General features: G+C 53.4%; 2 protein-coding genes, 2 long non-coding RNA genes and 1 pseudogene across 17 annotated transcripts in view, besides 2 other annotated features; 3 read left to right on the forward strand and 2 right to left on the reverse strand.

Moving 5' to 3' along the window:
- Positions 1–4,461, forward strand: part of KIRREL2 (kirre like nephrin family adhesion molecule 2) — a 15,738-nt gene extending 11,277 nt beyond the window's left edge. For 9 of the 11 annotated variants that reach the window (XM_011527362.2, XM_011527363.2, XM_047439500.1 and 6 more), the window contains 3 exons: positions 252–361; positions 1,973–2,038; positions 3,482–4,461. In XM_011527362.2, the coding sequence (XP_011525664.1) occupies positions 252–361; positions 1,973–2,038; positions 3,482–3,817 (512 nt within the window). In that variant the 3' untranslated portion in view covers positions 3,818–4,461. The remainder of the gene's footprint in view (positions 1–251; positions 362–1,972; positions 2,039–3,481) is intronic. The other 2 variants (NM_032123.7, NM_199179.4) reach the window with 1 other exon arrangement.
- On the reverse strand, positions 240–6,682 carry LOC107985317 (uncharacterized). Its single transcript, XR_001753932.2, has 4 exons — positions 6,417–6,682; positions 5,200–5,455; positions 3,812–3,918; positions 240–326 (listed from the first exon to the last, which is right to left on the reverse strand). It is a non-coding gene; the product is annotated as an uncharacterized LOC107985317 (long non-coding RNA).
- Positions 5,720–5,979: a silencer, noted in NCBI's record as "silent region_10540". NCBI's record gives its function as "represses an Ori minimal core promoter by ATAC-STARR-seq in GM12878 lymphoblastoid cells {active_cell/tissue: GM12878}" and the evidence as "EXISTENCE:reporter gene assay evidence [ECO:0000049][PMID:35858748]".
- On the forward strand, positions 5,899–17,117 carry APLP1 (amyloid beta precursor like protein 1). 4 transcript variants are annotated; one of them, NM_001024807.3, is made up of 17 exons: positions 5,899–6,108; positions 6,992–7,135; positions 8,221–8,353; positions 8,562–8,674; positions 8,937–9,070; positions 9,183–9,361; positions 9,808–9,938; positions 10,964–11,038; positions 11,829–11,987; positions 12,066–12,194; positions 13,842–13,941; positions 15,043–15,150; positions 15,407–15,433; positions 15,909–15,979; positions 16,215–16,277; positions 16,399–16,542; positions 16,668–17,117. In NM_001024807.3, the coding sequence occupies exons 1-17, from the start codon at positions 5,962–5,964 to the stop codon at positions 16,764–16,766; spliced, it is 1,956 nt and encodes a 651-aa protein (NP_001019978.1). In that variant the 5' UTR covers positions 5,899–5,961; the 3' UTR covers positions 16,767–17,117. The 4 variants fall into 4 exon arrangements, with proteins under 4 accessions (NP_001019978.1, NP_005157.1, XP_016882226.1 ...); NM_005166.5 differs by having other exon boundaries at positions 15,410–15,433; XM_017026737.3 differs by lacking the exon at positions 11,829–11,987.
- Positions 6,070–6,139: a silencer, noted in NCBI's record as "silent region_10541". NCBI's record gives its function as "represses an Ori minimal core promoter by ATAC-STARR-seq in GM12878 lymphoblastoid cells {active_cell/tissue: GM12878}" and the evidence as "EXISTENCE:reporter gene assay evidence [ECO:0000049][PMID:35858748]".
- Positions 16,989–19,450, reverse strand: LOC124904705 (uncharacterized). The gene is made up of 2 exons (XR_007067245.1): positions 19,152–19,450; positions 16,989–17,454 (listed from the first exon to the last, which is right to left on the reverse strand). It is a non-coding gene; the product is annotated as an uncharacterized LOC124904705 (long non-coding RNA).
- Positions 19,215–19,478, forward strand: RN7SL402P (RNA, 7SL, cytoplasmic 402, pseudogene; annotated as a pseudogene).

Here is a 24,159-nt window from a genome sequence, read left to right on the forward strand (position 1 = left end):
CTTGGGCCTTGGCTCCAGTCCCATTTCCAGCTCTGCACAGGGCTTAGCTCTCCTTCACGTTCTGGTTCCCTCCTTAAGCCCTAACTAGGCCTTCCCAGGGTCACACTCCTCGGTGGGAATGATTCTTATTGGTTTCCAACAGCCCTACCCAATCAGCCTCATTGGTTCCCAGTCCTCTCTCTTCCCGCTTATTGGTCTGCACACATTGTGACCCCGCCCATCGCTTAACTCCACCGGTCGCTGTTTGTCAGCCTCAGCCTCTTTCTCCGAGCAAAAGAACCTGATGCGAATCCCTGGCAGCAGCGACGGCTCCAGTTCACGAGGTCCTGAAGAAGAGGAGACAGGCAGCCGCGAGGACCGGGTAGGATGCCAGGGTCCCCAGACCTGACTGTGCCTCCAGACCTAAATAATAGCCCAGTCCCAAGAGGGTCCCCAAATTCAAATAGGACTCTAAGGCCAGGCATGGTGCCTGACGTTGGTAATACCACTTTGGGAGGTGGAGACACAAGGATCACTTAAGGCCAGGAATTCAAAGCCAGCCTGGACAGCATAGCAGGACCCCATCTCTACAAAAATACAAACTAAAATAAAATAAAAAATGAACCGGGTATGGTGGCATACACCTATAGTCCCAGCTACTCAGGACACTGAGGTGGGAGGATCCCTTGAGCACAGGAGGTAAAGGCTGCAGTGAGCTATGATTGCACCATGCACTCCAGCCTGGGCTACAGAGCAAGACCCTGTCTCCATTTTTTTTTTTTTTTTTTATGTAGGAGGGCTCTAGTCTTTTTTTTTTTGGCAGAATTTCACTCTGTCACCCAGGCTGGAGTACAGTGCTGCGATCTCGGCTCACTGCAACCTCTGCCTCCCTGGTTCAAGTGATTCTCTTGCCTCAGCCTCCTGAGTAGCTGCGATTACAGGCGCCCACCACCACGCCTGACTGATTTTGTATTTTTAGTAGAGATTGGGTTTCACCATGTTGGCCAGGCTGGTCTCAAACTCCTGACCTCAGGTGATCCACCCGCCTCGACCTCCCAAAGTGCTAGGATTACAGGCATGAGCCTCCACGCCCGGCCTGAGGGCTCAAGTCTTTTTTTTTCTTTCTTTCTTTTTTTTGAGACGGAGTCTTGGTCTGTAGCCCAGGCTGGAGTGCAGTGGCGCGAACTCGACTCACTGCAAGCTCCACCTCCCGGGTTCACACCATTCTCCTGCCTCAGCCTCCAGAGTAGCTGGGACTACAGGCACCCGCCACCATGTCCAGCTAATTTTTTTGTATTTTTAGTAGAGACGAGGTGTATACCGTGTTAGCCAGGATGGTCTGGATCTCCTGACCTCGTGATCCGCTCGTCTCGGCCTCCCAAAGTGCTGGGATTACAGGCGTGAGCCACCGCGCCCGGCCAAGGGCTCTAGTCTTAACAGTGACCCCACACCCAAATGTCACCCAAGTCCATGCCCCTGACCCAATTATTCCCTAGGCCCAGTATGTCCCCACAGCCCGTTTTTGTTGTTGTTGTTGTTGTTGTTGTTGTTTTTGAGATAGAGTCTTGCTCTGTCGTCCAAGCTGGAATGCAGTGGTGCAATCCAGACTCACTGCACCCTCCACCTCCCAGTTCAAGTGATTCTCGTTCCTTAGCCTCCTGAGTAGCTGAAATTACAGGTGCCTGCCACCATGCCTGCCTATTTTTTGCATTTTTAGTAGAGACAGAGTTTCGGCATGTTAGCCAGGCTGGTCTCAAACTTCTGGCCTCAAGTGATACTCCTGCTGCGGCCTCCCAAAGTGCTGGGATTACATGCATGAGCCACTGTGCTGGCTTCTTACAGCCCTTTTATTGTCCTGAGTGCAGTCCCCAGCTCTTGGGTGCTCTTACTCCCTCCTGCCTGGCCTCCACTGGCTGGCTGAAGGTCCTTGGGGTCTGGCATTGGGGCGGGGGGATCCTCTGACTATTCCCTCTCACTAAGTTCCCTACCCCAGGGCCCCATTGTGCACACTGACCACAGTGATCTGGTTCTGGAGGAGGAAGGGACTCTGGAGACCAAGGTGAGTGTTGAGAGGGGTGGGGCTCCCTTCACTGTTGGGAGAGGCGGGGCTCCCTTCATTGTGTTTCCGTCTCTCTCCCACGCCTGTCCCCTCCTTTTTCCTTCTGTTGTCCTCAGAGTTGGGACTCAGCTCCCCACCCCACTCCTCCTGCCCCCTGGGCCATCTCACTCAGCTCCCAGCCTCAGTTTGCCTGTCTGCAGACTCTTCCCACACATCTGTCCCAGCCCTAGCCTCCATCTGGAGCCCCAGACCAGGGCTCACCCTGCCTGTGCTCTCCTCATCACGGTCAAGCCCCCTTTCAGCCACCAGGTCCTACACTGGCCCCACATCTCCCCAGACTGGTTCTTCCTCTGGGGTCCTACCTCAGGACAGCCACATTGACTCCAGGCCATCCCCAGGCCAGAGCACTTCTCTCTCTCTCTCTCTCCTGCGTACCTAGCACATGCCATTCTCTCTCTTCTTTTTTTTTTTTTTTTTTTTGAGACGGAGTCTCATTCTGTTGCCCAGGCTGGAGTGCAGTGGTGCAATCTCAGCTCACTGCAACCTCTGCCTCCTGGGTTCAAGCCATTCTCCTGCCTCAGGCTCCCTAATAGCTGGCTAATTTTTCTTGTATTTTTAGTAGAGATGGAGTTTCACCATGTTGGCCAGGCTGATCTGGAACTCCTGACCTCAAGTGATCCGCTCGCCCCAGCCTCCCAAAGTGCTGGGATTACAGGCGTGAGCCACTGTGCCCAGCCGACATGCCATTCTCTTGGCCTGAAACACTCCTACCTTCCTTCCCATGTCTACCTAATTCCTTCCTTTAGTCCTCCAGTCTCAGCTCAGACATTTCTTGTTCTAGGAAGCCCATGCTTCCGTCATGACAGCTCGATCATTTTGCCTGTGTTCCACCCATCACAGCCATGACCACTCTGATCTGGGCTTCCTTATCCCACCCACTATGCTGAGGGCTCTACCATCACAGCCCCTGTCATTGCCTATGCCTTTCCCAGGCACAGCCCTGACCCCTCTGGGTACTGTCTCATGATCTGTCATTTTTCCTTTGGTGTGGGATTCTGTGAGGACAGGGTCCAGTTCTATCCTAGTGACATGCCTTGTAGCAGCAACACAGGGTGTGACACTGAATCAAAGCCTAGAGGCTGTTGGGCAGGTGAGTGTCTCTCTCCTGTTCCCTCTGCACCTTCCACACCGACACCCCTCAGCAGGCCTATATCCCTCCGTCTCTACCTTTCTCTGCCTATGTCCTATCCATTTGCCTCTTATCACTGTTCCTCTGTCTCACTTTCTCTCTCTCCCAGTCCATGTGTGTCTCTGTGTCTCTGCCCACTCCTGTCTCTTTTTGTCTCTCTCAAGGTCTGGTCTATTTCAGTGTGTCTCTCCATCAGTGACCCTCATCCCCCCTGCACGCTCACAGACTTTACTGAGTCCCATTTGTCCCCTCAGGACCCAACCAACGGTTACTACAAGGTCCGAGGAGTCAGTGTGAGCCTGAGCCTTGGCGAAGCCCCTGGAGGAGGTCTCTTCCTGCCACCACCCTCCCCCCTTGGGCCCCCAGGGACCCCTACCTTCTATGACTTCAACCCACACCTGGGCATGGTCCCCCCCTGCAGACTTTACAGAGCCAGGGCAGGCTATCTCACCACACCCCACCCTCGAGCTTTCACCAGCTACATCAAACCCACATCCTTTGGGCCCCCAGATCTGGCCCCCGGGACTCCCCCCTTCCCATATGCTGCCTTCCCCACACCTAGCCACCCGCGTCTCCAGACTCACGTGTGACATCTTTCCAATGGAAGAGTCCTGGGATCTCCAACTTGCCATAATGGATTGTTCTGATTTCTGAGGAGCCAGGACAAGTTGGCGACCTTACTCCTCCAAAACTGAACACAAGGGGAGGGAAAGATCATTACATTTGTCAGGAGCATTTGTATACAGTCAGCTCAGCCAAAGGAGATGCCCCAAGTGGGAGCAACATGGCCACCCAATATGCCCACCTATTCCCCGGTGTAAAAGAGATTCAAGATGGCAGGTAGGCCCTTTGAGGAGAGATGGGGACAGGGCAGTGGGTGTTGGGAGTTTGGGGCCGGGATGGAAGTTGTTTCTAGCCACTGAAAGAAGATATTTCAAGATGACCATCTGCATTGAGAGGAAAGGTAGCATAGGATAGATGAAGATGAAGAGCATACCAGGCCCCACCCTGGCTCTCCCTGAGGGGAACTTTGCTCGGCCAATGGAAATGCAGCCAAGATGGCCATATACTCCCTAGGAACCCAAGATGGCCACCATCTTGATTTTACTTTCCTTAAAGACTCAGAAAGACTTGGACCCAAGGAGTGGGGATACAGTGAGAATTACCACTGTTGGGGCAAAATATTGGGATAAAAATATTTATGTTTAATAATAAAAAAAAGTCAAAGAGGCAAGTGTGTCTTAGGGAGTCTACTGGCATTATCACTCTCCACCAAGGAAGGGGTCCCTTAGACCTGTCCCAAGGTCCCTCCTCTACCCTAGCCTATGAGGTGGCTGTAGGAGTAAAACTGTGAGCCACCTCTCAGCCTCTTGCTACCTGCAAAGCACTCTAGGCTCTTTTTTTTTTTTTCTTGAGACAAGATCTGGCTCTATGGCCCACATTGGAGTGCAGTGGCATGATCTCAGCCCACTGCTACCTCTGCATCCTGGGCTCAAGCCATCCTTCCACCTCAGCCTCCCAAGTAGCTGGGACTACAGGTGCATGCCACCACACCCAGCTAATTTTTGTATTTGTTTGTAGACAGGGTTTCACCATGTTGGCCAGGCTGGTCTCAAACTCCTGACCTCAAGTGATCCGCCCACCTAGGCCTCCCAATGTGCTGGGATTACAGGCATGAGCCACTGTGCCCAGCCATGGGCTCTTTTAATATACATCTTCACACACACACACACACACACACACACGCACACACACACATGAGTTGCAAACAGAAAAGACACACACATAGGCATGTATGCACAGACACACGCATAGATGTCCACACAGTTGCACACAAGTGACAGGGCTGCCCCAGGGGTCCTGGGGAAGACTGAATTCTAACTCTCATTAGAGGAGACAAACAAGTGAGCCCTGAAGTGGAGCAGGGAAGGGGAGACTATGGGTAGGAAAATGGCAATCCCCTGGTCCTTACAGCAAGCGTGGAGATCCAGACCCTAATCCTGAGGTGCTGCATCCACAGTGGGCATGGTGCTGGTGCCTGCTTGGATGATCCTTAAAGAAAGGTCCTGGGGGCTTTGGTTCATGGATCCTTGAGCTAGGAGTTAAAGGTCCAGGCCCCTGGGACCCTTGGGAAGCAGAGCAAGAAGAGTGAACTCCTGGGTCTGAAGGAGAATGGGCTGGGGGCTTGGTCTCTGGTCCTGAGAGAGAAGGTGCCCAGACTTCTGGATCTGAAAGAGGAAGGGACTAGGTCTCAACTGCTGCCTTCTTGACTGGGGACATTTTGGAGGCCTGTATTCCTGAGCCCTCAACAGAGGAATGTACTAGGGGATGGGGGTCTCTGATGCTTGCATCCTTGGAAAAGGACAAAACTGTGAGTGTCTGGGTCTAAAGAGGGTGAGAGTCCTGCGGGAGGACTCAAAATCCACAACGGGCGGAGCCCATAGCCGGACTCCTGGCTGGGCCCTTCATGGGGCGGGACGCCTGGAATCTCGAGGGGCGGGGGCCTGGCGCAGGCTCCCGCCCGGGGTTCCCGAGCTGCTCCACTCTGCGCGAAGCCGCCACGCTATTGTCCTGACCAGGAAGGCGGGGCCGGCGCGGGGCGGGGCTGGCGGCGCCGGCGCAGCCCGGGGGCGGCGGGAGGAGGAGGTGGCGGCGGTGGCGCTGGGAGCTCCTGTCACCGCTGGGGCCGGGCCGGGCGGGAGTGCAGGGGACGTGAGGGCGCAAGGGCCGGGACATGGGGCCCGCCAGCCCCGCTGCTCGCGGTCTAAGTCGCCGCCCGGGCCAGCCGCCGCTGCCGCTGCTGCTGCCACTATTGCTGCTGCTTCTGCGCGCGCAGCCCGCCATCGGGAGCCTGGCCGGTGGGAGCCCCGGCGCGGCCGAGGTGAGGCCGGGCCGGGTCCTGGGGGATGGGGGAAGGGGCGGGACCGGGTCTCTGGACGCCGGCGCGGACATGTCCAGGGCAGAAAGCGCGGTCTTTCCAGCCAGGTGGTCAGCCCCCAGGCGCCCCCAATCACATTTATGAACCCAGGGTTCCAGGCCCCAGCTCCCCCATCATGCGACGTCCCAGCCCCCTCCCATCTCGAGCATAGGAACTGGTCTATTCAGAGCCCCTGGTCCCAGAAGTCCAGCCCCCTCTCCAGACCCAGGTGACTCGGCCCCAACCCCCTCCCGCCTGGACATAGGACCCACCAAGCAGCGAGGCATTTAGATCCAATAATCCAGACCCCTTGTATTCTCTGGACCCATATGGAGGCCCTTGCAGCCTCCCAGGACCCAGGAGTCCAGTCCTTCAGTCACCACCCACCCCAACCAGATGTAGCTCTCCAGTCCTCAAGGACCTGGTGTCCAGGACTGTAGGCCCCTGAAGCCAGGCCTTGTCAGCTTTGCATCCTGCAACGGGAGCCTGAGCAAGGGATGGAGGGAGGAGGGGCCAGAACTCCTGGGTTCTGGCCTCCTCCTCCGCGATTCAGGTTTAACCCCTTCGGGCTCCAGAGCGGCTGCGCTGGGGTGGGGGCGGAGTCTGTCTCCGCGGCAACAAGGCAGAAAGAATCCCGGGGGACCCAGGTCGCCATAGCAACGGGAGCGCTGGGGCGCCCCCGCCCTACGGGAGCTGTTTCCCAGGGAACGGTGCCTCCATGGAGGCGGTGTGCGGTGCTTGGGGGAGGGGGCTGGTGCTGGGGGTCTCGGTCCTAGGGAGCAAAGAACCAGGGGACCCTCATGCCAACGCCCCCCGAGCCCTCACTGTCCTTTCCACTTCCATCCAGGCCCCGGGGTCGGCCCAGGTGGCTGGACTATGCGGGCGCCTAACCCTTCACCGGGACCTGCGCACCGGCCGCTGGGAACCAGACCCACAGCGCTCTCGACGCTGTCTCCGGGACCCGCAGCGCGTGCTGGAGTACTGCAGACAGGTGGGCGGGGCCGAACGGGAGAGGCGGGGCCGCCCATAGAAAGCTAGACTTGAAAAAGGCGTGGTCCAGGGTGCTGCGCGATCTAAGGCGTGGAGGCTGGGGGGCGTGGCCAATAAAGAGGCGCAACTATGCTAGGGGCAGGGGACCTGTTTTGAGATACTAAGTCAGGAAAAGGGGAGAGCCGCGAGATAGCCAGAGAGGAAGTGGAATTTAGGAATCTGGTGGTCTTTGTAAAGAGTAGAGGTGTAGGGGGGAGTGGCGAAAGGATAGGCGGGGCTAAGACAGAAAGAGACCTTAAGGACCAGCAAGATGGGGAAAGGGGTGGAGCCCAATGAGAGCGCGGAGAGCTGGGGGGGCGTGGCCATGAAAAGACAAATTTATAACGGGAAGGGAGAGTTTTGGAGAGGCGGAATAGAGGAAAAGGCGGGGCCTAAAGGAGGGTGAGACCTTTGGGGAGACGAATCTGACTGCGGGGAGGGGTGACCAGAGAGGTGGGCTTAGAGGGACCTTCAGAAAGAAACAGCACAGGAAAAGAGATAGGGCTTAAAGATGACGGGACTTTTAAGGGAAAACTGCTAGTGGGCGTGGCCAATGAGCACAAGGAGCTTGGATATCTAAGGCTGGTGCTAGGGAGAAGCAGGGCCTAGGGAAGCGATGTCCTCATGAATACTAGAGCCTTGAAAACGGACCTGGCCGGGCGCGGTGGCTCACGCCTGTAATCGCAGCACTTGGGGAGGCCGAGGCAGGCGGATCACCTGAGGTCAGAAGTTCGAGACCAGCCTGGCCAACACGGCGAAACTCCGTCTCTACTAAAAATACAAAAATTAGCCTGGCATGGTGGTGCGTGCCTGTAATCCCAGCTACTCAGGAGGCTGAGACAGGAGAATCGCTTGAACCTGGGAGGAGGAGGTTGCAGTGAGCCGAGATTGTACCATTCCACTCCAGCCTGGGCGACAAGAGCAAATCTCCGTCTCAAAGAAAGAAAGAAAGAGGGAGAAAGAAAGAGAAAAGGGACCTGACTACTGGAGAGGGGTGGCTGGCAGGGGCGGGGCAGTGGGCTGATTGCCCCCATCTGATCCCCCCAGATGTACCCGGAGCTGCAGATTGCACGTGTGGAGCAGGCTACGCAGGCCATCCCCATGGAGCGCTGGTGCGGGGGTTCCCGGAGCGGCAGCTGCGCCCACCCCCACCACCAGGTTGTGCCCTTCCGCTGCCTGCGTGAGTCCCAGGCGGGGAGAGGGGAACTGAGGTGGGAGTTTCTGAGGGGCAAGGTTCTGAGCCCCTCTCTCAGGCCTACATTAAGGGGCTGGGTGCTTGTGTCCTAAGTGGGGCAGAGAAGCCTCTGAGGATAAAATATCTGGATTCTGAGGAGGGTGGGGTTGGTGGCTATAGGAGGATCTCACCCTGGTGTCCCGTGCTTCCCCAGCTGGTGAATTTGTGAGTGAGGCCCTGCTGGTGCCTGAAGGCTGCCGGTTCTTGCACCAGGAGCGCATGGACCAATGTGAGAGTTCAACCCGGAGGCATCAGGAGGCACAGGAGGTCAGGACGTTGGCCCACCCGTCCCCAGCCCCCACAACCCAGGAACTGGGACCTCTAACACCCTCCGCCACCAGAACCGAGGAGTCTGGGCCACCAGCATCCTCTTCGCACTTGGGATCTAAGAATTTCATCCCCCAACCCCTTCCTCTAGAAGCAGGAATCCAGGCTCCCAGCCTCATCAACCCCCAACCCTGGCAGCCCAGTTCCCCATCTACCCCCTCCCATCCCACAATCCTGGCATCTGGGCCCACTCTTCCTACAGGCCTGCAGCTCCCAGGGCCTCATCCTGCACGGCTCGGGCATGCTCTTACCCTGTGGCTCGGATCGGTTCCGTGGTGTGGAGTATGTGTGCTGTCCCCCTCCAGGGACCCCCGACCCATCTGGGACAGCAGTTGGGTGAGTGGGAGGGAACCCTCCATGCCCATCTCAAGGTTCCTGAGGCAGGGGATGGAAGCCTGGGAGCCCAGGCCTGGGTTCTTACTGCCTGGGTCCTCTCCTGCTCCCTCAGTGACCCCTCCACCCGGTCCTGGCCCCCGGGGAGCAGAGTAGAGGGGGCTGAGGACGAGGAAGAGGAGGAATCCTTCCCACAGCCAGTAGATGATTACTTCGTGGAGCCTCCGCAGGCTGAAGAGGAAGAGGAAACGGTCCCACCCCCAAGCTCCCATACACTTGCAGTGGTCGGCAAAGGTGAGGCAGTCTCTGAACCCCTGGGGCCTCTCCACCATAGAGGGAGAAAGATCTGGGGGAGTCTTGCTGGGGGGTGTCTTTGGGAGGGGCCTATAGGGGAAAGGCCCAACTGAGGAGAAAAGACGAGAGTATCTTTGGATAAAATAGAAGTAGAAGGGCTAACCTGCCAAGGGAGGGGGTGGTTTGGGGGTACTTGGGAGTAGAGGGGCCATTGGGTAGGTCTTGAGGATCATTTCAGGAAAGCTTGGAAGATGGTGTAATGGATTCCTAAGCTTTGCAAGAACAGGCCCAGTCCAGAACTACATCTCCCATAATGCCAGGCAGCAGCGGTGGCTAAACTGGGTGCATGATGGTCTCCAGTGCACTCTAGGAAATGTGGTTCTCTAGGTAGAAAAGGCGACCTGGAGGTGGGCTGCAGACTGACCTCCTGATCCCTGGTCTTGCAGTCACTCCCACCCCGAGGCCCACAGACGGTGTGGATATTTACTTTGGCATGCCTGGGGAAATCAGTGAGCACGAGGGGTTCCTGAGGGCCAAGATGGACCTGGAGGAGCGTAGGATGCGCCAGATTAATGAGGTGATAATACTGGGGGCCCCAGGACCCCCTACAGTACAGAGCTCCCTAAATACCAGGAAATTCCTCCAGGACACATTGATACTACCTCCAAAGGCTCCCTAAGCCCCTTTGACCTTGAGCTCTCAACACCACCCCCTAAGATGGCCAGAGATCCATGGCCCTTCTAGAATCCCACTGAGACGCTACCAGGTTCTCTGGAAACTCTGGTCTATGGTACTCTTTCACTTTATTGGTTTTTTTTTTTTTCTTTTGTTGTTGTTGTTGTGACGGAGTTTCGCTCTTAACACCCAGGCTGGAGTGCAATGGTGCGATCTCGGCCCACTGCAACCTCTGCCTCCCGGGCTCCAGCGATTCCCCTTCCTCAGTCTCCTGAGTAGCTGGGATTACAGGCACCCACCACCACGCCCGGCTAATTTTTGTATTTTTAGTAGAGACAGGGTTTCACCATGTTGGCCAGGATGGTCTTGAACTCCCGGCGGGAGGAGATCCACCCGCCTCGGCCTCCCAAAGTGCTGGGATTACAGGCATGAGCCACCACGCCTGGCCTCTCTTTCACTTTAAACTCCTTCTGGATCTTCCCTCTTGGGAACCCAGGAGCCAGCGAGACTTAAGGGATCTGGGGCCTTTAAATCTTTTTTTTTTTTTTTTTTTGAGACAGAGTTTCGCTCTGTTGCCCAGGCTAGAGTGCAGTGACGTGATCTCCCACTCACTGCAAGCTCCACCTCCTGGGTTCACGCCATTCTCCTGCCTCAGCCTCCCGAGTAGCTGGGACTACTGGTACCCACCACAGCGCCCAGATAATTTTTTCTGTTTTCAGTAGAGACAGGGTTTCACCATGTTAGCCAGGATGGCCTCAATCTCCTGACCTTGTGATCCACCCACCTCGGCCTCCCAAAGTGCTGGGATTACAGGCATGAGCCACTGCGCCCAGCCATGGGGCTTCTAAAATCTTAAAGAGGGGTTGGGGGACTTGCCAGGTGGATCAGGGTGGATTCTGGGATCCTGAAGCTCCCCTCCCTATGCAGGTGATGCGTGAATGGGCCATGGCAGACAACCAGTCCAAGAACCTGCCTAAAGCCGACAGACAGGCCCTGAATGAGGTAGGACAGCCCCAGTGGGTCCTACTCATGCCTGTCCACCACCTGGAGCACACTCAGTTTCACCTGGCTCTGGCTGTGCCCTGCCCATCCAGTTCCACCCCTTCCCACCTATCTCAGCCTTTCCTGGCCCCATGCCTACATGCAGCTCTGCCCCTCTTAGCCGTCATCTGACCTGACACTGCTCTCCTCCCCAGATTGGCCATATTCGGCCCCATCTACAGACTTGACTTGCCTCTCAGGGCTGGCTCTGGAGTCCTGTCCCAAGCCAGGGCCTCTGCAGATGCAGCCAGGGCCTTCTTGGTCTCTCTTTGATGCATTTATGTCTCTATCAGGCCCCGCCCCCTGATTCTGGCTCTGCTGGGCCAATCTCACCTTTATTAACCTGACCTACCCCATGGAGACCCCACTCATGTTAGCCCCCATTCCAGCTCTTTGTCCCACCCCTATCGTGTCATTTATACACAGCCTGTCTCCAGTTTGACCCTGCCCAGGCCAGGAGCCCTGCAAGGCTTTGTCCCTTTCACCTTAACATTGGTCAGTTCTGCTCCCAGATTGCTCCCACTCAATCTTACAGTTTACATCCTCACATTGGCTCCCAGTGGGCCTAGTCCCACCTCCACTCTGCCTGGCCCTGTAGCCCACCCCTTCCAGTCCATAACCTTTGGTTCTGCCCAGGCCTGGACCCCTGGAACGCCCCCCAACCCCATGTAGCCCTGCCTTTCCAGGCTCTCTTTGACCAGGCTTTGACCCATCTTCTCCTCTCCTGACCCTGTGCCCACCCGCTCCCCAGCACTTCCAGTCCATTCTGCAGACTCTGGAGGAGCAGGTGTCTGGTGAGCGACAGCGCCTGGTGGAAACCCACGCCACCCGCGTCATCGCCCTTATCAACGACCAGCGCCGGGCTGCCTTGGAGGGCTTCCTGGCAGCCCTGCAGGCAGATCCGCCTCAGGTGCGGGGACCGTGGGGGCAGAGAGCAGAGGGTGAGAAGGGTCAGGGCGGGCTTGGGCATCCTGTGTCCCTTCCACAGGCGGAGCGTGTCCTGTTGGCCCTGCGGCGCTACCTGCGTGCGGAGCAGAAGGAACAGAGGCACACGCTGCGCCACTACCAGCATGTGGCCGCCGTGGATCCCGAGAAGGCACAGCAGATGCGCTTCCAGGTGCTCACATCCTTCCAGCTCCCAAATGCGCCGCTATTCCTCAGACGCCCGCGCCTCAGGCTCTTCTCTTGTCCCTTAGACCCTCTTTCTGTCTCTTGGACCCCTTCCTATCCCCTGAACACCGCTTCTCTGCCCCTTCCCAGTCTCTCAGCTCAGCTTCCTGACCCTGAAACATGGACCCTCACATGCTGTGTCTTTGACCCCTGCTTCTTGGCCCTTGGATTCCTACTCCCCCCGCCGTCGATCCTATGTTCTGTCCCTTGGATTTTCACTGCCTTTCCCAGAATCGTCTTTTTTTTTTTTTTTTTTTTGAGACAGGTTCTTGCTCTGTCGCCCAGGCAGGAGAGCAGTGTGCGATCTTGGCTCATTGCAACTTCCACCTCCTGGGTTCAAGCAATTCTCCTGCCTCAGCCTCTCGAGTAGCTGGGATTACAGGAGCCTGCCACCACACTGGGCTAATTTTTTTTTTTTTTTTTGACAGAGTCTCGCTCTGTTTCCCAGGCTGGAGTGCAGTGACATGATCTGGGCTCACTGCAACCTCCGCCTACTGGGTTCAAGCTATTCTCCTGCCTCAGCCTCCTGAGTAGCTGGGACTACAGGCGGGTGTCACCACATCTGGCTGATTTTTGTATTTTTAGTAGAGACAGGGTTTCACCATACTGGTCAGGCTGGTCTTGAACTCGACCTCAGGTGATCCACCCTTGGCCTCCTAAAGTACTCGGATTACAGGTGTGAGCCACCACGCCCGGCCCCAGCTAATTTTTGTATTTTTGGTAGACACGGGTTTCAGCATGTTGGCCAGGCTGGTCTTGAACTCCTGACCTCAGGTGATCTGCCTGCCTTGGCCTCCCAAAGTGCTGGGATTACAGGCGTGAGCCACCATGCCCAGCCAGAAACCCCAATAACTTTTGCACCAATCTAATATTTTTAGCAGAGACAGGGTTTTGCCATGTTGCCCAGGCTGGTCTCGAACTCCTGACCTCAGGTGATCTGCCCACCTCGGCCTCCCAAAGTGCTGGGATTACAGGCGTGAGCCACCATGCCCGGCCAGAAACCCCAATAACTTGCACCAATCTAATATTTTTAGCAGAGACAGGGTTTTGCCATGTTGCCCAGGCTAGTCTCAAACTCCTGACCTCAGGTGATCTGCCTACCTCGGCCTCCCAAAGTGCTGGGATTACAGGCATGAGCCACCGCGCCCGGTCGAGAATCTCCTTCTTGTTCCTTGAACCCTCTTCCTGTCCCTCAACCTCCTTTCTCCATAACTTCACTTGTTTTCCCTGGAACCCCTGTTCTGTGCGCTCAAATTTGAATTCCCCTTTCCTGGATGTTTTCTTCCTGTCTATGAAACTCCATTCTGTGCTCTTGAACTCCAAATCTTGCCTTGAACCATGTCATTTCTATATGACCCTCCAATCCTCAATCTCTGTCTCTGGAATCCCCTCAAACCCCACTTTCTGTTCCTTGGACTTTATTCTTCAATTTCCTTCTCCTATGGCCCAGTTCCTAACCCTTGTACCACACATCCTGTCCATTGCATGTGCCGCTTTTCCTCAGTCGCTATTGAATTCCTCCTTCATACTGCTTCAGTTTCCTCATCTCCAGCCTGCATTGCGCAGTTCATCCTTCATGTCCACTCACCCACAGGTGCATACCCACCTTCAAGTGATTGAGGAGAGGGTGAATCAGAGCCTGGGCCTGCTTGACCAGAACCCCCACCTGGCTCAGGAGCTGCGGCCCCAAATCCGTGAGTGTCTATTACCCTGGCTCCCATTACAGATCTCTGAGGGCAGATCTTGACTCCTAAATGTTGGGCCCCCCCAATTTCATTTATTCCTCTATAACAAACAGCCCAGACCTTAGCAGTGAAAATCAACAATGATTTTTCTTTGTTCATGATTCTGCCATCCGGTCTGCGCTCAGCAGAGTGGTTCTTTCAGTGGTCTTGCCAGTGGTCAAGCATGCAGCTGTATTTAGCTAGCAGATCATCTAGGGGCTGGGAGTCTAGCACAAATGGACCTTTCTCTCTCTCCAAGGAAGCGCAAGGCCTCTCTTCTCCGTGGAGCTTCTCCATGTGGTCTCATCAGCAGGGTAGCTAGATTCCCTACATGGTGGTTTATGCTCTCTAAGACATCACAGTGGAAGTTGCTAGGTCTTAAGGCTTGGGCCCACATTCTATTTGTTAAAGCAAGTTACAAATTCAGTCCAGATTCAAGGGAAGGAACCTATATGCATACCGGAAAGTGTGACCTATTGCAGCCCCCACATCTATTGTGTCTTTCTCCTGGATATCTCACACATAACCCTGATTCTCCTAGTATTTAAGAAAGCTATCATCTTGAGGCGCGGTGGCTCACGCCTATAATCCCAGCACTTTAGGAGGCCGAGGCGGGTGGATCACTTGAGGTCAGGAGTTCGAGACCAGCCTGGCCAACATGGTGAAACCCCGTCTTTACTAAAAATACAAAAATCAGCCGGGCATGATGTCGCTTGCCTGTAATCCCAGCTACTTAGGAGGCTGAGGCAAGAGAATTGCTTGAACCCGGGAGGTGGAGGTTGCAGTGAGCTGAGATCGCATCATTGCACTCCAGCTGGGCAACAAGAGTGAGACTCTGTCTCAAAAAAAAAAAAACAAAAAAAAAACATAATCTTGAAACTTCAGCCTCCATCCTTCCTGCCAGCAGTGCCTCCATCCAGCTTCCCACTTTCTCAGATCACACTTCTGGCTACCCCACACTTGGGGCTGACTCTGCTGTCTGCATGATCTCCCACTTGCTCTACTGGTAGGGTGCCCTCCACTCACCCCTATGCTCACTACCTCAGCCACCTTTCTGCATGTCCCCCTCAGAGGAACTCCTCCACTCTGAACACCTGGGTCCCAGTGAATTGGAAGCCCCTGCCCCTGGGGGCAGCAGCGAGGACAAGGGTGGGCTGCAGCCTCCAGATTCCAAGGATGGTGAGTGAGCCCACATATAGATGACCCCAGACATTAGGGAACAGGCCCCAGCCTAATTTGTAATCCCCTAGAGTCTGAGGGTGTCTTCACCACCACAGTGACTGGGAGAGGATGAGGAGGAACGTCTAAGGTTGCAGGGGCCTCTGTAGGATCCCCAATCCTCCTTCTTAGTCCCTGGAAGGATGTTTCTCCACCTTTCTTTGCTGATACCCTCCTCTCTTCACTGTTCCACTCCCTTGCTTCCTCTGGCTGCCAGCAGACACCCCCATGACCCTTCCAAAAGGTGAGTGTCTCACAGTTAACCCCAGCCTCCAAATCCCACTGAATCCCTGAACCCAGAAGGAAACAGGGTCCATCCATTGGGAACCTCAGACCCCCTGGGGTAGAGTTTGATGTACTTTCCAGCCCCCTCCTCTGGACCCTAAAGAATGAGATAGGGCCAGGCGCTGGTGACTCACACCCGTAATCCTAGCACTTTCAGAGGCTGAGGCAGGAGGATCCCTTGAGGCCACGAGTTCTAGACCAGCCTGGGCAACATAATGAGACCCTGTACCTACAAATAATTTAAAAATTACCTGGGTGTGGTGGGGCATGTCTGTAGTCCCAGCTGCTCAGGAGGCTGACGTAGAAGGATCACTGGAGCCCAGGAAGTTGAGGCTGCAGTGAGCTGAGATCATGCCACTGCACTCCAGCCTGGGTGACAGAGTGAGACTCTGTCTAAAGAAAAAAAAAAAGAATGAGATCAGACTTGGGGGTAGGGTCCACAGAACAAGATGCTGCATCCCCTGAGAAAGAGAAGATGAACCCGCTGGAACAGTATGAGCGAAAGGTAAGTTAGTCAGAACTGTGGGCTCCCTAAGGGGAACAAGATCGGGGCCTATATGGCTGGGTACGAGGGAGGAGATGCTGGGGGCTTGGATTCCTTGTCCTGAGGGAAGAGGGAGCTGAGGACGTGGAATTGAGATCCTAGAAAATGAGAGGGCTGGGGGACGCTCTCTTGGGCCCTTGGGTAGGAAGAAGCCAGTGCCAGGCTTCTGGGTTCCTGACACCTCCTGCTCCCCCAGGTGAATGCGTCTGTTCCAAGGGGTTTCCCTTTCCACTCATCGGAGATTCAGAGGGATGAGCTGGTAAGAGGAGGAACAGCCGGGTACCTAGGGGAAGAGACCAGAGGTCAGCGGCCAGGCTGTGATTCCCAAAGCCACACAGGACCCTCAAAGAAGCCCTCTGCCCCATCTCCTCTCCCTGCAGGCACCAGCTGGGACAGGGGTGTCCCGTGAGGCTGTGTCGGGTCTGCTGATCATGGGAGCGGGCGGAGGCTCCCTCATCGTCCTCTCCATGCTGCTCCTGCGCAGGAAGAAGCCCTACGGGGCTATCAGCCATGGCGTGGTGGAGGTGAGAACCATGGCGTGGTGGAGGTGTGGGAAGAGTTCCTGAGCCCGGGTGTGGGCGGCCTGAGAGACTTGCGGGCAGTCCCGCCCCCGCACCACACTGTCCTTTCCCTCCCCTGCTCGTTGCAGGTGGACCCCATGCTGACCCTGGAGGAGCAGCAGCTCCGCGAACTGCAGCGGCACGGCTATGAGAACCCCACTTACCGCTTCCTGGAGGAACGACCCTGACCCGGCCCCCTTCACCCCTTCAGCCGAGCCCAGACCTCCCCTCTTCCTGGAGCCCCAGAACCCCAACTCCCAGCCTAGGGCAGCAGGGAGTCTTGAAGTGATCATTTCACACCCTTTTGTGAGACGGCTGGAAATTCTTATTTCCCCTTTCCAATTCCAAAATTCCATCCCTAAGAATTCCCAGATAGTCCCAGCAGCCTCCCCACGTGGCACCTCCTCACCTTAATTTATTTTTTAAGTTTATTTATGGCTCTTTAAGGTGACCGCCACCTTGGTCCTAGTGTCTATTCCCTGGAATTCACCCTCTCATGTTTCCCTACTAACATCCCAATAAAGTCCTCTTCCCTACCAGGCCAGTCTGAGTCTCTGTGGGAGAATTAGTCTGTAACCACAGCTGGACGCGGTGTCATCGCCGCCCAGGCCGCCTTGGCCTCTTTAAACGGGATGACGGAGCTTTAAATCTGGGCGGGTCCTGCGGGAAGGGCTGGCGCGCCGGGGGCGGGGCTCAGAGGCCAGGGATAGGCGCCTGTCCTGGAGCTGTCCGCGGTGCTGAACTGGCCGCGCCTTCCAACTGTCAGTTGGGTACCAGTGTGGACCCCAAGGAGGCTGGGCTCCAGCGAGTTTCCCCTGCCATCTGTTCAGCCTCACACACAATCACATGCAGCGCCCACCCCAATCTTCGAGAGTCCTGTAAGAGATTATGAATCGTGAACCACCGTTCCCATTCCCCAAAGTCTTCATTCCTTCTCGGGGAGTCTATAGAAACCCTCCTGGAGTGTGGAAATTCCAGTCACGTGTCCCAGAAAGGGATATATGATATCTGCACGTGCCTACTGAACTTCGTTTTATTTTCTCCCCCTACTGCCCGTATAAATGCAGAAGAATTTCTTTTTCTTTCTTTTCTTTCCCCACCTCCCTTTTTTTAAGACAGGGTCTAACACTGTCACTTAGGCTGGAGTGCAGTGGTGCAATCATAGCTTACTGCAGCTTCCAACTCTTGGGCTTAAGTGACCCTCCTGCCTCAGCCTCCCGAGTAGCTGGAACTATAGGCACGTACCGCCACCCCCGGATAATTTTTTTAAAAAAATTTTAGGCCAGGTGCGGTGGCTCACGCCTGTAATCTCAGCACTTTGGGAGGCTGAGGCGGGCGGATCACCTGAGGTCAGGAGTTCGAGACCAGCCTGGCCAACATGATGAAACCCTATCTCTACTAAAAATACAAAATTAGCCGGGCCTGGTGGCGTATGCCTGTAATCCCAGCTACTTGGGGGCTGAGGCAGAAGAATCGCTTGAACCCAGGAGGCGGAGGTTGCAGTGAGCCAAGATTGCGCCACTGCACTCCAGCCTGAGCAACAAGAGCGAAACTCCATCTCAAAAAAAAAAAAATTTAGAGATGGGGTCTTGCTATGTTGCCCAGGCTGCTCTCCAAGTCCTGGCCTCAAGTGATCCTCCCACCTCAGCCTCCTGAGTAGCTGGGATTACAGGCGTGCAGCACTGTGCCCAGTATTGGAATTTATACCCTCACATGTCCCATTATGCTGGCTCGGGTTAGCCCTCTACATATACAGTTATCTGTCCCAAGAGGGTTAGGAGGATTTAAAGGGTTAATATTCGTGGAGCTGTTATAACTGCACCTGCCACTTAGCAAGTATTTGTTAAATAAATTTTAAAGTATTAAGGTAGCAAACACTCATATGGTGTTCACCCTGTGCCAGGCACTACTCTGAGGGCTTTACATGCACTGGCACACTTAACCATTACTCCTGTGAAAGGAAAATAAATCCTGGGGGCCCCAAATCACTAAGTTAAAGGGAAAAGTCAAGCTGGGAACTGCTTAGGGCAAACCTGCCTCCCTTTCTATTCAAGGTCATCCCTGTACTCACTGAGAGAGGCATATTCTGATTGCCTCCTTTGGAAAAGCTAACCAGAAACTCAAAAGGATGCAACCATTTGTCTCTCACCTACCTGTGACCTGGAAGCCCCCTCCCTGCTTTGTGTTGTCCTGCCTTTCCAGACAGAACCAATGTACATCTTAACATATGTTGATTGATGTCTCATATCTCCCTGAAATGTATAAAACCAAGTTGTACCCCGAACACCTTGGGCACATGTCGTCAGGACCTTCTAAGGCTGTGTCATGGGTGCATATCCTCAACCTTGGCAAAATAAACTTTCTGAATTAATTGAGACCTGACTCAGATATTCGGAGTTCACATTTCCATCTAATGGAGTCAGTATTATGACTATTCCTATCTATAGATTAGGAACTGAGGCTGAGAGTCGTTACATCACATGCTCTATGTCATCATCCAGGAAAAGTCAGAGCTAAGAATTCAATCCAAGAAGCCTGGCTCCAGCATCCACTCTCCTGGCCACTTTGCTAACCTGTTTAATACTCCAAGGTTGTCCAATATGGTGCTCCGATTGTGCGCTTCAAAATTCCACGTGGCTGGGCACAGTGGCACGCTGCTCTAGTCCCAGCTACCCGGGAGGCTGAGGCAAGAGGATTGCTTGAGCCCAGGGCTTCTGGACTGGAGTGCACTGTGCCACTTGGGTGTCCACACTAAGTTTGGCATCAATATGATGACCTCCTGGGAATGGGAACCGACCTAGGAAACATAGGTCAACACTCTCATGCTGATCAGTAGTGGGATAGCACCTGTGAATAGCCACTGCGCTTCAGCCTGGGCAACATAGAGGGACCCTGTCTAAAAATAAAAATAAAAATAAAAAATAAATAAATAAATAAATAAATAAATAAATAAATAAAATCCAAGTGATACCATTCACCTCCCAGACTTTGTAGATTTGCTTTTTTACCACAGCTTCCCAGGAGATGGCAGTAAAGTGTCATGTTCTAATGTCAGTATCTTGCATGATTTTCTGACAGATGGTTTGGGGAGGGAGCATCTATTTCTAATTCTCCCAAAGGGCCTATGAGCTAGCTGTGGTTCTTCATAATATATAACTGTAAATATAGGTCGTGTATATTGAATATACACCTGGTAGATGTTAGGAGAAGACGCTTCATGGTGCAAGTTGGATGCAATGCCAGTCTCTGTAGAGAACTCAGTTTGCACCATCACTCTGATACCGGTTATATCTTTGGTTATACTCGGATGAGCCCAGTGGAAATCTATCACTAACGCCACAGGCACCACAGGGGTTGAAAGCCGCCTTTGTATTTTCACAACCAAGAGTGATCAACAGGCTAACAACAGGTAAGGAGCTCCAAGCAGGTGAAACAGGAAAAGTAAGGCGGTTTTGCTCAATAGGGTCAGTGTGTAAAGTAAAGTTTAATGGTAATACTTAGAGTATTTAATTTTAAAATGTTGTTATTCAAATTCCAGCAGGAAAAATAATTTTGCTGTTATTTATCTGATGTTCTTGCACTCCTAAGTCATTCTTTTCCCACTGAAGATGATCTTGGTAATACTGTTTTTTTGTTTTGTTTTGTTTTGGTTTTGGGTTTTTGAGACAGAGTCTTGTCAGGCTGGAGTGCAGTGGTGTGATCTTGGCTCATAGCAACCTCCACTTCCCAGGTTCAAATGGTTCTCCCACCTCAGCCTCCCGAGTAACTGGGATTACAGGCGCCCGCCACCATGCCTGGCTAATTTTTGTATTTTTAATAGAGACGGGGTTTCACCATGTTGGCCAGGCTGGTCTTAAACTCCTGACCTCAAATGATCCACCTGCCTTGGCCTTCCAAAGTGTTGGGATTACAGGCGTGAGCCACCGGGTCCGGCCAATTTTTCTTATAATAATTCAGTTTCTACCATGTGCGTGGCTCATGCCTGTAATCCCAGCAATTTGTGAGACTGAGGTGGAAGGATCGCTTGAGTCTAGGAGCTCAAGACCAGTCTGGGCAACATAGTGAGACACAGTCTTTACAAAAAAAAAATTAGTCAGGCATGGTGATGAGTGCCTGTAGTTCCAGCTACTCGGGAGGCTGAAGTGGGAGAATTGTTTGAGCCTAAGAGGTCGAGGCTGTAGAGAGCCAAAGAAGACAGATTGAGACCCGGTCTCAAAATAATAATAATAATAATAATATATGGACAGGTGCAGAAGCTCATGCATGTAATCCCAGCACTTTGGGAGGCCGAGGTGGGAGTATCCCTTGAGCCCAGGAGTTCGAGACCAGCCTGGGCAACATAGTGAGACCCTGTATCTACAAAAATAGAAACGAAAAAATTAGCTGGGTGTGGTGGCATACACCTGTGGTCCTAGCTTCTCAAGAGGCTGAGGCAGAAGGATCTCTTGAGTCCAGGCAGGAGGTGGAGGCTGCAGTGAGCTGACATTGCACCACTGTACTCCAGCCTGAGCAAGAGTGAGACCCTGTTCTTATTTAAAAAAAAAAAAAAAAAAAAACACACAAAGTTTCTGAGGGACATTTTATCATGTTAGTGGGGTGGGTGTGTGCACATGTGTGTATTGATATGCATCTTAGTCTGGGCTAAGAATACCATGAGCTGGGTGGCTTAAACAACACACATTTATTTCTCACAAGTGCTAGAGGCTGAGAAGTCCAAGATCAAGGTGCCAGCAGCTCCAAAGTCTGGAGGACTCTCTTCCTGGTTTGCAGATGGTTTGTTTTGTTTTGTTTTTTGACAAGGTCTTGTTCTGTCACCTGGCTGGAGTGCACTGGTGCAATCACAGCTCACTGCAGCCTTGATCTCCCAGGCTGAGGCAATTCTCCTGCCTTACTCTCTCGAGTAGCTGGGACCACAGGTGTGCACCACTACACCTGGCTATTTTGTTTTTTTTGAGTAGAGACAGGATTTCACCATGCTGCCCACGCTGTTCTCAAACTCCTGAGCTCAAGCTATCCTCCCATCCTGGCCTCCCAAAATGCTGGGATTACAGGTGTGAGCCAGTGTGCCCTGCCCAAGATGGCCATCCTCTTACTGCATCTTCATATGGCAGAGAGTAGAGAGCAGAGAAGCAAGCTCTCTCCTGTCTCCTTCTTTTTTTTTTTTTTTTGAGATGGAGTTTCACTCTTGTTGCCCAGGATGGAGTGCAATGGCATGATCTCGGGTCACCGCAATCTCCACCTCCCAGGTTCAAGTGATTCTCCTGCCTCAGCCTCCTGAGTAGCTGGGATTACAGGCATGCACCACCATGCCTGGCTAATATGTATTTTTTAGTAGAGACGGGGTTTCTCCATGTTGGTCAGGCTGGTCTCGAACTCCAGACCTCAGATGATCCACCCGCCTCGGCCTCCCAAAGTGCTGGGATTACAGGCATGAGCCACCACGCCCGGACTCTCCCATCTCTTCTAACAAGGACATTAGTCCCATTCATGAGGGCTCCACCCTCATGACCTAACTACCTCCCAAAGGCCCATCTTCAAATACTACCCCACTGGGGCTTATGGTTTCAACAAATGAATTTTAGAGGGACACAAACATGCACTCCATAACAATACAAATTGAGATATACATCTTATATGTCAACAAAACCTCAGATGCCATCAGTGATAAAAAATAGCATTATTTTAGGTACCACAAAAGGAAAAAAAAGGCAAAATATAAACTATGTCACACAATTGACTATAAGATGATCCCAATTAAGTTCTTCTGTATTTTTTATTTTATTATTATTATTTATTTACTTACTTTAGAGACAGTGTCTTGCTGCCTCCCACGCTGGAGTGCAGTGCTGCAATCATGGTTCACTGCGGCATCAAACTCCTGGCCTCAAGTGATCCTCCTGCCTCAGCCTCCAAAGTAGCTGGGACTACAGGCACCCGCCACCATGCCCAGCTAATTTTTGTATTTTTAGTAGAGACAGGGTTTCACCATGTTGACCAGGCTGGTCTCCAACTCCTGACCTCAAGTAATCCGCCCTCCTTGGCCTCCCAAATTGCTGGGATTACAGGAGTGAGGCACCTCGCCCAGTCCCCAGATAACTCTGTCTCCCAATATTGAGACCCTTGTGTAATGCCTCCCACACTGATCTGGGATCAATGACATGTCAACAAGTATGATACAAGCAGGGACTTGTCTCCTTGGATCTCTCTTTCTTGGAACCACTGAGCCACCACCTGAAGTTAAGAGATCCACCTGCCCTCCTGGACTGCATGGAAAGACTCTTGGGCCACTCCTGGAAGCTCCATTATCTCAGCTGAGCTATCAGGCATGTGAGTGAAGGTGTTGTGGATTTCCAGGCCAGTTGGGCCTCAGGTTGATTGCAGCCACATGAGGAACCAAAGGGAGACAGCAGAACAGCCAGCTGAACCCGGCGTAGATTTCAGTCAGAAACAATTAAGAGGGGCTGGGCGCGGTAGCTCACACCTGTAATCCCAGCACTTTGGTAGGCCGAGGTGGGTGGATCACTTGAGGTCAGGAGTTCGAGACAAGCCTGGCCAACATGCTGGAACCCCAATCTCTACTAAACAAATACAAAAATTAGCTAGACGTGGTGGTGGGTGCCTGTAATCCCAGCTACTTGGGAGGCAGAGGCAGGAGAGTCGCTTGAACCTGGAAGGCGGAGGTTGCAGTGAGCAGAGATCGCGCCACTGCACTCCAATCTGGTGAGACTGAGACTCCTTCTCAAAAAAGAAAAAAGAAAAGAAATAATTAAAAGGGTGTTGGTTTAAGCCTTAAGTTTTGGGGTGGAGACATTGGCTGGAGCCCCGGAATGTGCTAACATGTACATTCGGTCTGTGGTCCATGAAAGGTTCCTAGCTATGGGGGCTGTGATGGGTCCAAGGGCTTTCTGGGATGGGGGCTCTTTGTGTGATTATATTGCAGAGGCCAGAGCAGAGGCTGTGGAGCGGGTATGAGAATGGGGTTTGGGTTTTTTTTTTTTTTTGAGACGGAATTTTGTTTTGTTGCCCAGGGTGGAGAAAAGTGGTGGGATTTTAGGTTAATGGAAGTTCCGCCTCCTGGATTTAAGGAATTTTCCTGCTTTAGCCTCCCAAGTAGGTGGGAAAACAGGTGCCCGCCACCATGCCTAGCTAATTTTTTTTTTTTTTGGTTTGTATTTTTAGTAGAGATAGGGTTTCACCGTGTTAGCCAGGATGGTCTCAATCTCCTGACCGCATGATCCGCCCGCCTCGGCCTCCCAAAATGCTGGGATTACAGGTGTGAGTCACTGCGCCTGGCCAATTTTTTTGTATTTTTAGTAGAGACAAGGTTTCATCATGTTGGCCAGGCTGGTCTCAAACTCCCGACCTCAGGTAGTCCACCCGCCTCCGCCTCCCAAAGTGCAGGGATTATAGGCATAAGCCACTGCGCCCAGCCTTGGGGGTTTTTTTGTATCTTTTTTTGAGACAGAGTCTTGCTCTGTCGCCCAGGTTGGAGTGCAGTGGCGCAATCTCAGCTCACTGCAACCTCTGCCTCCCAGGTTCAAGCGAGTCTCATGCTTCAGCCTTCTGAGTAGCTGGGATTAC

This window comes from Homo sapiens, chromosome 19 (genome assembly GCF_000001405.40).
Source record: "Homo sapiens chromosome 19, GRCh38.p14 Primary Assembly".
Lineage (NCBI taxonomy): Eukaryota > Metazoa > Chordata > Mammalia > Primates > Hominidae > Homo > Homo sapiens.